Source organism: Homo sapiens, chromosome 7 (assembly GCF_000001405.40).
Source record: "Homo sapiens chromosome 7, GRCh38.p14 Primary Assembly".
Lineage (NCBI taxonomy): Eukaryota > Metazoa > Chordata > Mammalia > Primates > Hominidae > Homo > Homo sapiens.
In genome coordinates this window covers 37,422,256-37,436,239 of record NC_000007.14, presented here as the reverse complement: position 1 = coordinate 37,436,239, position 13,984 = coordinate 37,422,256, and the positions used below count along the sequence as shown (strand labels likewise).

The 13,984-nt window shown below is 42.5% G+C and overlaps 1 protein-coding gene across 10 annotated transcripts in view; it reads left to right on the top strand.

Annotated features, from left to right (window-relative positions):
• ELMO1 (engulfment and cell motility 1) overlaps positions 1 to 13,984 on the top strand; it is a 596,421-nt gene that overhangs the window by 13,087 nt on the left and 569,350 nt on the right. For 3 of the 10 annotated variants that reach the window (XM_011515654.3, XM_047421086.1, XM_047421088.1), the window contains exon 2: positions 6,484 to 7,449. The exons of 6 other annotated variants lie outside the window; for them this stretch is intronic. The gene's annotated coding sequence lies outside the window, so the exon portion shown is untranslated. Of the gene's footprint in view, positions 1 to 5,437; positions 5,540 to 6,483; positions 7,450 to 13,984 lie in introns of all 10 variants that reach the window. One more of the 10 variants, XM_047421087.1, reaches the window with a different exon arrangement.

The window sequence follows — 13,984 nt, the reverse complement described above, 5'->3', positions numbered from 1 at the left end:
ATAGAATCCAATGGTAAATATATGTTTAAAGACCCATAAGAAGACTTAGATAATGAAATACAGATCTACAGTAACTCACTGGAGAGTTATGTTCTTACCAAAATATCTAGCAGCTTAAAAGTGATTTCAAACATGTACCCATTTTACAGATGAGGGAATTCAGGTGTCAGGGAAGCTGGCTGCCCAACTTCACATAGACTCAAAACCATACCCTCTTTTCTGCAGCATACCATATGGTACATACCCCTGCTGCCAAGTTTTCATCACTTTTGCCTCAGTTGAACCTGCTACACTGGATCATTGTGTTGAGTTGAGCTACTTGGTGAAGGATGGCGAATGATTTGCTGCCTCAGGAGTGTGTAAAAGAGCACCGTCGGGGCAGCAAACCATTATCCCAGCTGTGGCTAAGGATGGTAGAGAGAAGAGCGTGTAATAGAGATTCCTTTAAATACCCAGTGAGACATCCTTCCAGTCATAAGCGTTGTCATATAATTATTGTCAACTGGTTTAGGGCCATGTTGAATCTTTTCAAATGTGTTGCTAACCATTCTAGCATGTGCAAGTGTGTAATGAAACAGTCTGAGACTCGGCGTCTGGACCTGGGAATGATAAGACAGGCAGATGAGGGTGTCTGAAAATACAAGAAGTTGTGAAAATTCTCAGATTTGTTTTTATCTCAACATATATCTTTAAGACAATTTTTTATGACTAGATCAAAGCAAGGCACAGAGAAATGGCATAACAGTAGTTTTAATGTTGAGTTTCACCCTTTCGAAATCCAGAAGTTGTATTAGGAATAGTTTGGTCCATCCATTAGAAGTGATAAGTGCTTTGAAGAGTATTGGATCGTATGCAGGGGGTGGAAACCACCCTAGGACTTTAGTCCTTGGCTGGGAAGAGACTGCTGCCTTTAACTTTCAGGAAAGGGATAGGAGTATTTTAAATTCTTAATTGCTACTGTGTGCCTGGATTTGTTCCAGCATTTGATTTGGAAATATTCTTTATTTTTCTTCTTTTTCTTTTTCAAGGCTAGTCAAGTGAAGTAGTGGGAGTGGAGAAGGAACAAAGAAATCTGTAAATGGTTAAGATCAATTAGTTGTAAACACCTCGGCACTTGGACCAAACGGAAATATTCATTTGTTAATTCACAAATATTTATTGAGCGCCTGCTGTGTACCATGTGGTGTACTAGGTGATCCATAAACAATGGTGAGCCTCCTTCCAAGAGAAAAATAGGCCTGTTGATTTCATGGGCTGGGCTGCTTATACATTAGAGGAGGAAGTTTGCATTGATCAAAGGATCACACAAATAAGTGTGATGTTTAAACTCTGCTAAGGGCTGTTGAAGGGGGAGTTACTGATGCTCAGGGCGCCTACAACAGGGAGATTAATGTAGTCAGGGAGGTCAGGGAGGAGGGTGAAAGAATTTTACTGGGTACAGACAACTAGCACATGAAGGCTGTGTAAAAGGCTGACCTTGGATGTTGCAGGAACTGGGGAGCAGAGTGCCTGAGGCAGGGAGCACTCCAGCGTGGATTAGACTGGAGAGGAGGCCTGATTGGGATCATGGGGCTGAGCTTTTATCAAAAGGGCAAAGGGAAGTGACTGAAGAGTTTTACCCAAGGGAGTGACGTGATCTGATTTATGCTTTGAAAAGATCCTTCTGGCTTCAACCTGTAAATTTTACATCATTTAAAATTGGTCACAATGTGACTGTACAATCACTCCTGTTAGAATCTAACCATTTCTAAAAGAATCAATTTAGCCACTAGTGTCTTCTTTAAATTTTAAACAGCAATTTAAAGGAGTGATTTAGCATGGGTAATGCAACCACTTAGGAATGATGAAGTACCTAGTTCTGTGGTTCTCAGACTTCAGAATGCTTAAGAATCACTGGGGACCCAGGAAACAGCATTTTTAGCAGCCTCTCAGGTGATCCCAGTGCACGTGGTCCCAGACTTCACTTTTCTTTTCTTTCAAGAAGCATCATCCTACAAAGTGGTGACTAAAAAAAATTATAAACCTCAAGGTACCACCTAATGAGGCAACCAGAAGAGGATGGAACCTCCTTATCGCCCAGGTTTGAACCTGGATCTGTTCTCCCAATACTGGGGGGATTTTCTTTCAGTGCACCCAAAATGGATTCTAAATCCTTTGAGTTACTTTTTTCATTTATTTTCTAATCCTTTCATATGCAGCTGTTTTCTCAGATCTGTGGCTCACTCTCTGTGTGTCTCTGATATTTTACTTTTCATCTTTGTCACCGTTTAATAAAAATCTTGTTCCATAAGTCCCAGATGAGGTTCGGGGACAGGCAGGGGTTCTGAGTGGGTGGGTTAGCCTGGCCTGATGAGGAGGGGAGATGAGAAGCCCCTCTGTAGATTTTACTTATTTTGCCCCCTGCAGCAGGAGACAGCGCATGTACAGGGGAGAAACTAGTTCATGACTGCCAAAATAGGGAATTGTTTTCAGGGACATAAAGACTCAGAGACACCAGGAGAATTCGTTTTTGGGGGGCTTTCCTTGAGGCACCCTGCTCCCTGGGGCCCGTGTTCAAGTACTGCTCAGAAGCCAGCAGTGAGGGATAAGGTGGGCTCATGTTTCTTCCCTTACAAGTGAGCATAAGACCCCAGAATTCCTAATCAGGTGAAATCGGGTTGAAGTGAATATTAAGGGGAAACACCAAGCAAAAGAGAAGTCATGCCAGAGGTGTCTGGCAGTTTGGTGGGCTGGGAGATAGAGGCCTCTGGCTTCCTTTGTGAGTGAAGTGCCTGGACCATATGATATGTGTGGATGGTCACCTCCTCTGAGAACCTTCCGTGACTTCTAGCATTTGCTCCTTGGACACATGAAGTGCTTCCCTCTGCTGGCATTGATTGTGCTTTCACACTCTGTTTCATGTCCTTCTCTCTTAGTAGCCTGGAGGGCTCACGGCAGGTGTTCCCAGGCTGAGCCCATAAGAAGTACTCAGTGTATGTCTGCAGACAGAAGCACTATTTTCCATGTATGTGAGCACTGTGTCCTTTTAACAGTCCTTTAAAATGGTTCCTTCGTCTTTGAGTAAGGGCCCTGGGGATATTGTATTTAGGGATGCCTGGCATGTAACTCTCGCTGTCCTCAATTTTGCTGAAGACCCAAGGTCACTTGTTGAGGAGCCTCTGGGTGTTGGAGAGGCACACGGCCATGCAATGCCCTAACCCTAGGAGGCAACAGTTACTGCCTTAGTGTCATTCCACTGTGCCAAAATCCACTCTAGATATAACGAACATTACAGAAGAAGAAACCAACATTTTGTCATTGCATTACTCTCTGCAGAAGTATTCTTACTTGCTTGTCTACTTATAATTCTCTACTAGTCACCCAAGAGCCTACAGGGCATAGACATTTGAAGACCATAACTGGAAAGAACATAGAAAACGTTTCTTGGCTTTTTGTCCCTTCATCCACGGTTCAGCCAGTGTTGAATTTGAAGCGTCTGTTTTTTCCTCCCTCCCTCCCCAGTGCCTGTGGGTGACGAGGCATCTGTGATACACATTGGGGGTTGGGATTTTTACCACATGTGTGGTTACCCACATTTCGTTTATTACATTCTGAGAGCACCGTGGCCTTGATAATATACGTTTCTAGACTATAATTGCATATTATTTTTCTAGCAGTTATCAGGGGTTTCAGCTAGCAATTGAAACTTGATAGTGTCTTGGCTCTTCATCTCTGGAACAATTTATCCTGATGTTCAAGTGCAGAGCTGAGCCCATTTCTTATAAGCCAAGTAGCACACACATGGTAAAACCCCAACTTAAGTGTTCTCAGTTCACTCTGGAAATGGAGCATATTCAGGCCTTTGGAACCACGTTCTCAGACCTTTCATATCCCCTTTCTCCCTCAATACAAGTACAATAACCAAACAACTCCTTGCTTCCCCAGTGTGGAGAACTTGGCAGTTGCTGAGCATACCTATTCCAATTATTCATTCCAGAACTTAAGAAATGTCCATAGGCTGAGGTGTGGGACCCACTGGGTCCACTGTGAGGTGGACCTGAACTAAAACTTCATAGATCAGGCCAGGTGCGGTGGCTCACACCTGTAATCCCGACACTTTGGGAGGCCAAGGTGGGTGAATCACCTGAGGTCAAGAGTTCGAGACCAGCCTGACCAACATGGAGAAATCCCTTCTCTACTAAAAATACAAAATTAGCCAGGCGTGGTGGCATATGCCTGTAATCCCAGATACTCGGGAGGCTGAGGCAGGAGAATCGCTTGAGGCTGAGAGACGGAGGCTGTGGTGAGCTGAGATCGCACCATTGCACTCCAGCCTGGGCAACAAGAGCGAAACTCCATGTCAAAAAACAAACAAACAAACAAACAAACAAACAAAAAACAAACTTCATAGATCACCTGGCCTCCATAAGTCCCTACTAACTGAGGCCACAGTGATGTTTTGAGTATTCTGAAATTAGTGTTAGTTCAGAGCCATTGTCCATTAGTTCCCAAAACATCTCATTATTCCTTTTTCCCCAGTGCACAGTTACCCTGGTAAAAGGTTGTACATAGGTCTTCTTGGGGAAGGCTGGGAGAAAGATTAACAGAATACATTTCTGGCAGTGTACCAGGGTCCTATTTCAAAGTGACCCAGCCTTCCTTTCATTCTAGTTGAGCCAGTGTAAACTCACTATAAACTGACTCTCAAGTCTGAGGATTGGTTGAGGGACCATGACTGTTTTTATGATTCATATTAGACTTTTGTTCACTTGACCTAGAACTTTTCCACTTATACACATCAAGTAGAAATTTAGTAGGCTTCTCATCTATTCCCACTTTTAGAAACACTATGATCATCTAGCCAATAGTATAGCCCTGTGTGCAAGTTATTCTTTTTTAAATTAATTAATTTTTTTTTATTTTAGAGACAGGGTCTTGCTCTGTCACCCAGGCTGGAGTACAGTGGCATAGTCATAACTCACTGCAGCCTTGAACTCCTGGGCTCAGGCCATCCTCTCACCTCAGCCTCCTAAGTAACTAGGACTATAGACATGCACCACCATGCCGGGCTAATCTTTTTATTTTCTGTAGAGATGGGGTTTTGCTATGTTGCCCATGCTGGTCTCAAACTCCTGGCTTCAAGTTAACCTCCTGCTTTGGCCTCCCAAAGCACTGGAATTACTGGAAGGAGCCACTGCACCTGGCCAAGGTAGACTGTTCTGATTGCTGTGTTGACCTTGCTGTCCATTAAGGTAACTATGCCACACTAGAAAGTGCTCAATCAGGCTTTGTGCCTGTTGCGAGGCTTGGTCCCATTTGTTCCCTTAGACACTTCCCTGAGCTGCCTTGTGGGATCCAGACCTACACAGATCCATGTTGAAATTAATCACCACCCACTTGCTCTGTGACTTAGGGGAAATTTATTAAGTTCTCATAGCTTCCGTTTCCTCTTGTATAGATGGAAATGATGCCAGTGTGTGGTTGTCAAGATAAAATGAAAAAATGTAATCAACAAACAGCAGAATTCTTTGGCCTCGGCCGGCATACAGTAGATGTGAGAGTATGTATGAGTTTTGAACCTCTTCTCCAAAATTCTGTGGCCAGAGGCCATCGCGGGTTGAAAGGGATGGAATTAGGAGACACCGGTGAGCTCAGAGATGCAAAGAAATTTCACAGCATTTTCTGTTGTTTGCATTAAGACTTAAATTTCAAGTTTGCTGTGTTTTCCAGTATCGCAGTTTGATTTCTGGATTTTGGTTTTTGGTCGGTTCAGAGAAAATAAGGTCTGTCTGGGAGAAGCGACCATTTTTATACTTCCCATACCCTCTGAGGAGTGCCTTTTGTGAGCCCTATTTGTGGACTTCATTCATTAACTCATTCTTTGGGCACTTGAGGCCAGGAAATGACGATACATGTGGAGTGCCTTTGCCCTCTGCAGGGGAAGATGAGGTCGCAGTGGGCACAGCTGTAACGCGTGGCTGATACTCTCATGCAGGCAGAAACCCAGGTGGGGATGGCAGAAGAGGCCTGTGTCCTGTTGGCCAAAAATGTGCTTCATGGAAAATGATGTTCCTGGTGGAGCTCTTCGGGAACTGGTGGTCCAGACATTGAATTTGGAATCAATAGGCCAGAGCCCTATTTTTGGGGCTGAACCTAACTGTTGTCTGTGCTCTCCGTCAATGCCAAATTTTTCTCAGCTATTTATAAATGTGGAGGGAGGGTGCTAGGTGTGATTGATGGATCCCAAACACAAATCTGTAGGTCAGTCAGCTGCATTCAGAATCATCTCAGCAGCTTGCAAAAACTAGAATCTGGGATCTCATCACTAGAAATTCTGATTCTGGAGTAATTTCCTAAAATCTCTATTTATACAAAGACTCTGCACCAGGTAATTGTAGTCTGAAGCCCCCTTAGGGATGCCCTGAATATCTTCTATGTCCCTCTTCCCTCTAGTTCCATTCCTCATCCTTCACATCCTAATGCCATCTTAAATGTCTCTTTCAGAAAACCTTCTTGGCCTCTAACTGAGCAGCCCTCCATAGAGGATTATTAGTTCATGCCTCTGTGCAAGAAAGAAAAACAAAAACAAAATGCATGAGTTCATTCACTCTCCCATCTCCCCTGCTGGCCTGAGAGCACCTGAACATAGTGATGGTACTGTAGCCAGTCATCTGTGCATCCTCTGTGCTCTGCCCACTGCCTGGCATGTAGAATATGCCCAGCAGGGGATTTTCAGAGCTGACCAGATGGGAGAGTGGTGAAACTGAAGATCAGCCCTTTTCCCTGCCTGTAAGCACCTCTAGGAAAAGATTTAAGAGATGTTGCAAACAAATCACTCCAACGTATTTGGGATTGCTCATTGTGATGCCTGATCTGTGCCAGCCTCTTCCTACCACATCTATGACTGTTACAGGGGTAACTGTTCCATCCCTTAGTCTGCAGCACCCGGAATGGATGTGGAATCACTGAAGGAGGTGAGTGGGGAAGAAGACAAGTTGGATCCTGACAGTTTAAACCCAGGTGTTTTGCAAATCCATCCCTTAGTCTGCAGCACCCGGAATGGATGTGGAATCACTGAAGGAGGTGGGTTGGAAAGAAGACAAGTTGGATCCTGACAGTTTAAACCCAGGTGTTTTGCAAATCCTTCCAAAATATCACTTGGCTTTTCCTCTCCATACCTCCTCCCTTGCCCAGTTGGAAAAAATAACAACAACAACAACAACAACAACAACAACAACAACCTGCAGTACGTGTGCCCACATCCTCCTCTGGATGAAATAGAGTTGCACAGAGAAAAGGAAAGTTGATTTCCTAGTTATTCTCCCACACATGGAGTTCTGGGTGGCACCATCCCACACTATTTGCATCACTGAGCTACACACTCTGCCAAGACTGCCTCTTAAATTTAAACACATTTTGATGAAAATAGAGAAAGGCTGAGGAAGAAAGGTTAACACTTCCCCATAAGAGGTGCGTAAGCACTATACATCGTATGTTTTTCTTCTGGCTCTTGGATTAGGACAGAATGTTAATTAAAAAGTAAAAAGCTGATCTTCTGAGCAGCAATTAATTTCAGGATTGCTCTTCTTTCATCTGTTGGGTCTTTGCATTTCTGAAGACGTGGTGGAAAATATTTCCTAGGGGTCTTTCTAATACACATTTTCATTTGATTGTTTTGATCTTTAGGCTACATGTTGACTTAAAAAGGAACCAATATTACAAAAAGAAATGTCATTCCAAGGTTCTGGATTCTGATTATCGCTCTGGTGACACAGATGAGATTGGCTCCAGGCATATACACATTGGTTAGCTGGTTCTGCCCAATCCCTGTCTGGAGTTGAATGTTCCATTTAGTCAAGACTGCCAAGCAGCAACATAACTGGATTCATTAGCTTGAGTTCTGAAAGCTCCTCTTAAAAGTTGTTTTTGTATTCATACTACTTTAATATTTAGGGACAGGCTGCACCATTTTCTAGGTTGCAAAAGTGATCACTCAGTTTTTTTTTTATTAGGTGCTATTTTAGATTCAAAAATATTTTATTTTTTATGAACTGTTTTGTGCCTTTGACCTAGTTCTCTTTTCACTGGGATATGTATCCTAAGAGGATGAGGTTTATGATATTAATAATACCTGCATTATTAATTCCTTTCAAATGAAACCAGCTGTCTCTGTTCCCCTCCAACGTGTGTGTGCACACACAGACACACACACACACACACACACACACACCCCAAGCATACATCCTTCATGTAGATAAAAAGATAAAATGCCTTTGGGGTATCTATGGGGATAACTTATTTTTCTCCCCTATTGATCAGAATGCATGGAGGCCTGGGAAACTCTGCTGGAGTACCCAAAGCCTCCAAGCTGGCAGACTTGAGCACTATTGTCTTTATTGCTTCTTTTAGCAGGATTTTCCTGGGGATGGTGAATGTGCCATAAAGTAGGGCCCACAGGCCTTGCAGAAATGGAAGAGCATGCCATTCACTGAAGAAATGAGCTGTCAGCTCCCTTCTCCTCTTACTATAATTTGCTACAGCCTGGAAATGAAAAGTGACAGCTATTAAAAGGGCTTGGGAATAATTGCAGTTAAAAGCAAAAATAGCGATATTATCCACTGCCACTTAGGCTCACTTTTACTTTTGAAAAGGCTCAATGTTTGGAGTCCATAAAATGTTTGCAGAATATCATCCTGAGTCATTTTATTTATGACTAATCTAAAATATTTTTATAGGTTTTCAGCCATCCCATAGTGGTGTTGGTTTTGGTGGCATCTGAAGGAGGGTGATATTCCTATCAGAGTGATCTGTGACACGTTGCAGTGTTGGTCACTGCTGACCCAGACTGAGGTGACAGGATTCTTCCATGCAGAGCTGCAAGAGTTCTAAAGCAAGTGTTTTTCCTGGAGGGAGAGCAATGGCTTTTTGTGAATTTTAGTTTTAGAATTTGAAAAAGTCTTAGCCTGAAACATATCTTTAAAAATGCCTCCTCATATCTCAGCTAACGTAGCACATCACAGAGATGTCACTGTATTCTGGAAGTTGATGTCATTCTTTCTTTGGAAAGCCATAGAGTCATCTCCGCACCTTCTGTGATCTCTGATGTTCAGATGTTTAGCCTAGAAACTAGATTTGAATCTCGTTTCTAAAGAAGACCCCCTTGTGGTCTGAACTACTGTATTGTCTTAGGGGGCTCAGGTTAGTGTTTGCAAAGGTTAGTTTGTGATTTTTTTCTTTTTTTCGGGAAAAAAGACGTAGAATCTTTTTAGCAGAAGGATCTTGGATAAAAATCCTGAGTAAATGTTTCTCGGTGTATGGCATTGAAAATGAGTTAGGTATAATGCTGGCTTTTAGGGAATATTTAAATAGTTTTTTATTCATTTTCATGTGTCTTGGAAAAAGAATAACAAGGATATCCAACCTGTGATTTCCTAGATTTCCTTGTTTAGGATGAGACTAACATGCAATAATTGTAAGAGAAATACTGAGTAAAATAGGGCTGGGAAATGGTCTTTGAAGAACTAGAGTTTGGGAAACACTGATGTAAGCCAAAAACCTGGATTTTGTCTGTGACACTTCTGAGGCGAGACAAGGACTGACTTGCCAGAGTTTACCTGTTGGTGACCTTGAGACTGGAATCCAAACGAGATGCTGGTATGTTTGTGAATAATAACAAGGAGAGCTGACCTTTACAGAGCGTCTCTTGTGAGTGGTACCAAGTGATTTATATATGTTATCTCATTTAGTTCTCACTTCAGGCCTTTTTTGAATTAATTACTACTAGTATTTTATTTTATAGCAAATACAAGATGGGTGTGGTGGCTCACACCTGTAACCCAGCACTTTGAGAGGCCAAGTAGGGCGGATCGCCTGAGGTCAGGAGTTCGAGACCAGCCTGGCCAACGTGGTGAAACCCTGTCTCCTACTAAAAATACAAAAATTAGCTGGGCTTGGTGGCGGGCATCTATAATCCCAGCTACTTTGGAGGCTGAGGCAGGAGAATCGCTTGAGCCCAGGAAGCAGAGGTTGCAGTGACCCAAGATTGTGCCACTGTACTCCAGCCTGGGTGACAGAATGAGACTCCATCTCAGTAAAAAAAAAAAAAAAAAAAAAAAAAAGAAAGAAAAAAAGAGGGAGAGAGAGAGAGAGAACTCTAAGTTTAGAGAGGCTGGGTAACTTGCCCAGGGCCATAGAGCCAGAAAGAGCTGAGGTGAAGGAAGGAGCACACCTCTGTCCATCTTAGCTCCCTGAGAATAGTTCACATCAAAGAAGATGTTGAAGAATGGATCCTTTTGTTGGTGTTAAACTGCTAGGCATGAGGGTCCAGAGTCTTGTTCTGGAGACTTGCAAATGATGATTTTTATAGCCTCATTGGAGTGGGGGACTCTGCCTAGGACATCCCCTGAGAAGTTCTCAGTATATCAGCGTATTACAGTTGGAGAAGACTCAAGTAGAAATCAGCTTTCTTTTGTAATATTGATGGTTTTCAAACTCGGCCACAGGTTCCCTTTTTCTCCAATAAAACCCATGACATTTTGCAGAACCAATACTCTGTGGAGCACTTATTTGGGGAACCTAACGTTTTAAACTCATTTTACACATGGGAAATCTGACGTTTGTGATTACTTGGCCAAAGCCAAAACTAGCTGTTGGCAGAGCTTATGTCATTAATTAATTTATTCATTCAACGGATAGACATCCAGTGCCTCCCATGTGCCAAGCATGCTGGGAATTAGTGGTACAGCATTGAACCAGTGGACAAGACACAGATATAAGGAGACACATGTAAATAATTCTCGATAACTATCATGATGCACTGAATGTTTGTGCCCACACCCCCACGCCTCCAAATTCTTATGTTGAAATCCTCATACCTAATATGATGGTATTAGAAAGTGGGGTCTTTGGGAGGGCCTTAGGTCCTGAGGGTGGAGCCCTCTGGCATTAGTGCCCTTATAAAAAGGACCCAAGAGAGCTCTCTGCTGCTCTTTCTGCCACGTGAGACATAACGGGAAGTTGTCAGTCCACAGCCCAGAAGAGCACCCTCACCAGAACCCAACCCTGCTGGCACCCTGATCTCACATTTTCAGCCTCTAGAACTATGAGAAGTAAATTTCTGTTGTTAATAAGCCACCTAGTCTATGGTACTTTGTTAGAGCATCCTGAATTGACTAAGAAAACCATAAATCTATGAAGACTGGAAACCCTAGCATTTCCTGGGTCTTCTTAAGGCAGAGGGCTTGCCTTTTTCATCTTTCATCTTTGTTTTCCCAGTTTCTAGTATGAGGCAGTGATAACACAGCCTCAATAAATATTCGTTGAATAAGCTGTTGATGGATTGGAATCTTTCCCATTCTATAACAAAATGGTTTATTATTATTATTATTATTAAAAATATATAATAATTATTAGTTTTGGTGTGGGTTACTCTTTGGGAAGTTTAAAACAAAATGTTCCAAGAGGTCCCCAGATTGAAATAGGTCTCTTGGTCACCCTTGCTAAGAAACCCAGTTCTGAACAGCATTGACCTTGAACACTCATTACAGGACAGATTATTTGTGAAATGAGTAATGTTTGAAAATCATCTCTGTAGGTTTTTCGGCATTGCTAAATTGTGTCATTGGTTGGAATTTTCAGATCACAACCATATTTTGATTCCCAGGCTTTTGGCCATTTTGCTAATGTGCCAGAATCTCTAAGGCCTAGCCCAATTGCTAATATTGACAAATTCTTGAGGAGTATATATGGTTTGTTCAGGAATAAAACGGATAGGACTCAGAATCTTATCAGCTCATACCTGTAGGTATGGGGCAATCCATCCATCTAGCAATTTTCTAAACTATGTAGCCTACTGTGGGATACTGAATCCCTGCCCATGAGTACTGAGAAGGACTCATGGAAGGATGATAGCTTTCTTTGCATTATTTGTTTCTAGCATAGGAAAACTGGCTAATGTTCGTACAGTATGAGAAGTTTTTAGTCCACTGGACTGGAGATTCGGAGCTGCCCAGGTGGTCAGTGCTGGCAGGAAAAGGTAAAGAAGATCAAAGCATATGGCTTTTCTACTTTGCCTATCTTTTTCTTGAAAGAATTTATGGCTGATGAAGACCATTTTGCTCTGGAGGAAATGATGATCTGTTGGTGGCATGCACCTGGCCTCTTAGTTTGCTTTGTTGTCCTGGGAAGTGGGCAAGTGCCCCACTGGACCTTGATCTGCATTCCACAGGGGACTCCCTGCTTTAGAGGGACCCCTACCCATGAGGTCCAAGGATGACCACCCAGCGTAGCCCCCAGCAAGTACTCACACACACTTCCTCCAGAGCAGATCATTTAGTTTAAGGGAAGGGCATCATCACTTTCAGAGATGGGTGTTTTAGTGATTAGACATGCGACTTCTCTGGTAGAGGGCATTTATTTTTTAAAAAAGAGAAAGGGTAATGAATCGGACACTATCTGTCAAATTCTTTGCTAGGAGTGGAAACCTAAGTTTTCCCAAGTCCGTATTTCCCTGAGAAGAAATTGATTTTGGTATGATCCATAAAGCCTTGTACAGTGAAATAAACTATTGGCAGAAAAGAGACAAACACATATATAAAAAAAATAAGAATCAATGTTTCAAAAATGAAATACAGTAGAATACTGTGAGGTGTTTGTTTGTTTGTTTGTTTGTTTGTTTTCTTTGAGACAGGGTCTGGCTCTGTCACCCGGGCTGGAGTGCAGTGGCAAGATCTCAGCTCACTGCAACCTCCGCCTCCCGGGTTCAAGCGATTCTCCTGCCTCAGCCTCCCGAATAGCTGGGATTACAGGCAGCCACCGCTGCGCCTGGCTAATTTTTGTATTTTTAGTAGAGATGGGCTTTCACCATGTTGGCCAGGCTGGTCTCAAACTCCTGACCTCAGGTGATCCTCCCAGCTTGGCCTCCCAAATTGCTGGGGTTACAGGTGTAAGCCACCACGCCCGGCCAACTGTGAGTTTTATTTAGCCTCAGAAGTATCTTTAGACATTAGGTAAAGAGACACAGACTTAATCATGTCTGTAGTTTACTGCAGGTTATAAGATGAATGTCTGATGAAATTATGACATATGTTACTGAAGGGAAATTGTGCCATGTTTTTCCCTATATATTTTAGGGTGATAACCTGTAACACAGAAGACACTGGTGCCTCACTAAGAGCATGGCACCAGGAGCCTGAAGGAGTGGGACCTGAGTCCCATTTTCTTGGTTTACCAGATAGGAAAATTTAAACAAGTTATGTAATGCTTCTGAATCTCAATTCCCCATCTGTAAAATGAGGGTAACAATACAGACCTCTAGAGTTTGCTGTGCAGACTTAACAGGCTTGGCTCATGGGCTGCGGCCAATAAATGGTAGCTTTTGTTATGAACTCTAGGTAGAAAAGTATCTAAATGGTTTTCCCCAAGCCCAGAGAGTCTGAAATGGCCTTTGGAGGTATCTTCAGACATCATGACTTCTTTTAGTGTGGCATCATGCTTGTCTGATTTTTAGATTTCCAAAGAAGTCTTGTAGTGCATCATGACTAGAAAACATTTTGGAGTTTACACAATCAGTAAATGAGTTTTAAAACGCTTTTTTTTCTAAATAGGAAGGCAAGTGTTGCCTGCTTCATCTATTTGTAGACCTGTTTAAGTGTTTTAAAATCCATCAAAACATTTAAAATTATGAAAGCCATTTGCTTCATGACTTAACAAAATTCCTTAAAAGTCTTGTATATTCCTGCGAATAGCTGAATCCTCTAAGAGAAGCAGGAAAACCACACGAGCTTCTCTATTAATGTTGCTGATGTGTTGTGACTTGTACCAGGTCCCTTAGGCCAAAGCGAAGCACAGATTTTTTGGGGGAAAAAAGCTGATGAATTAAGCCAATAACTCCGACCTCTTGGCCAGAGAAATGTAAATTCTTTTTCTAAACTCACAGAAATAAGACTCTTCCAGGGCTGGAAAAGACTTTGATGAATAACGCAGGCTCATTTCCCCATTGAATTTA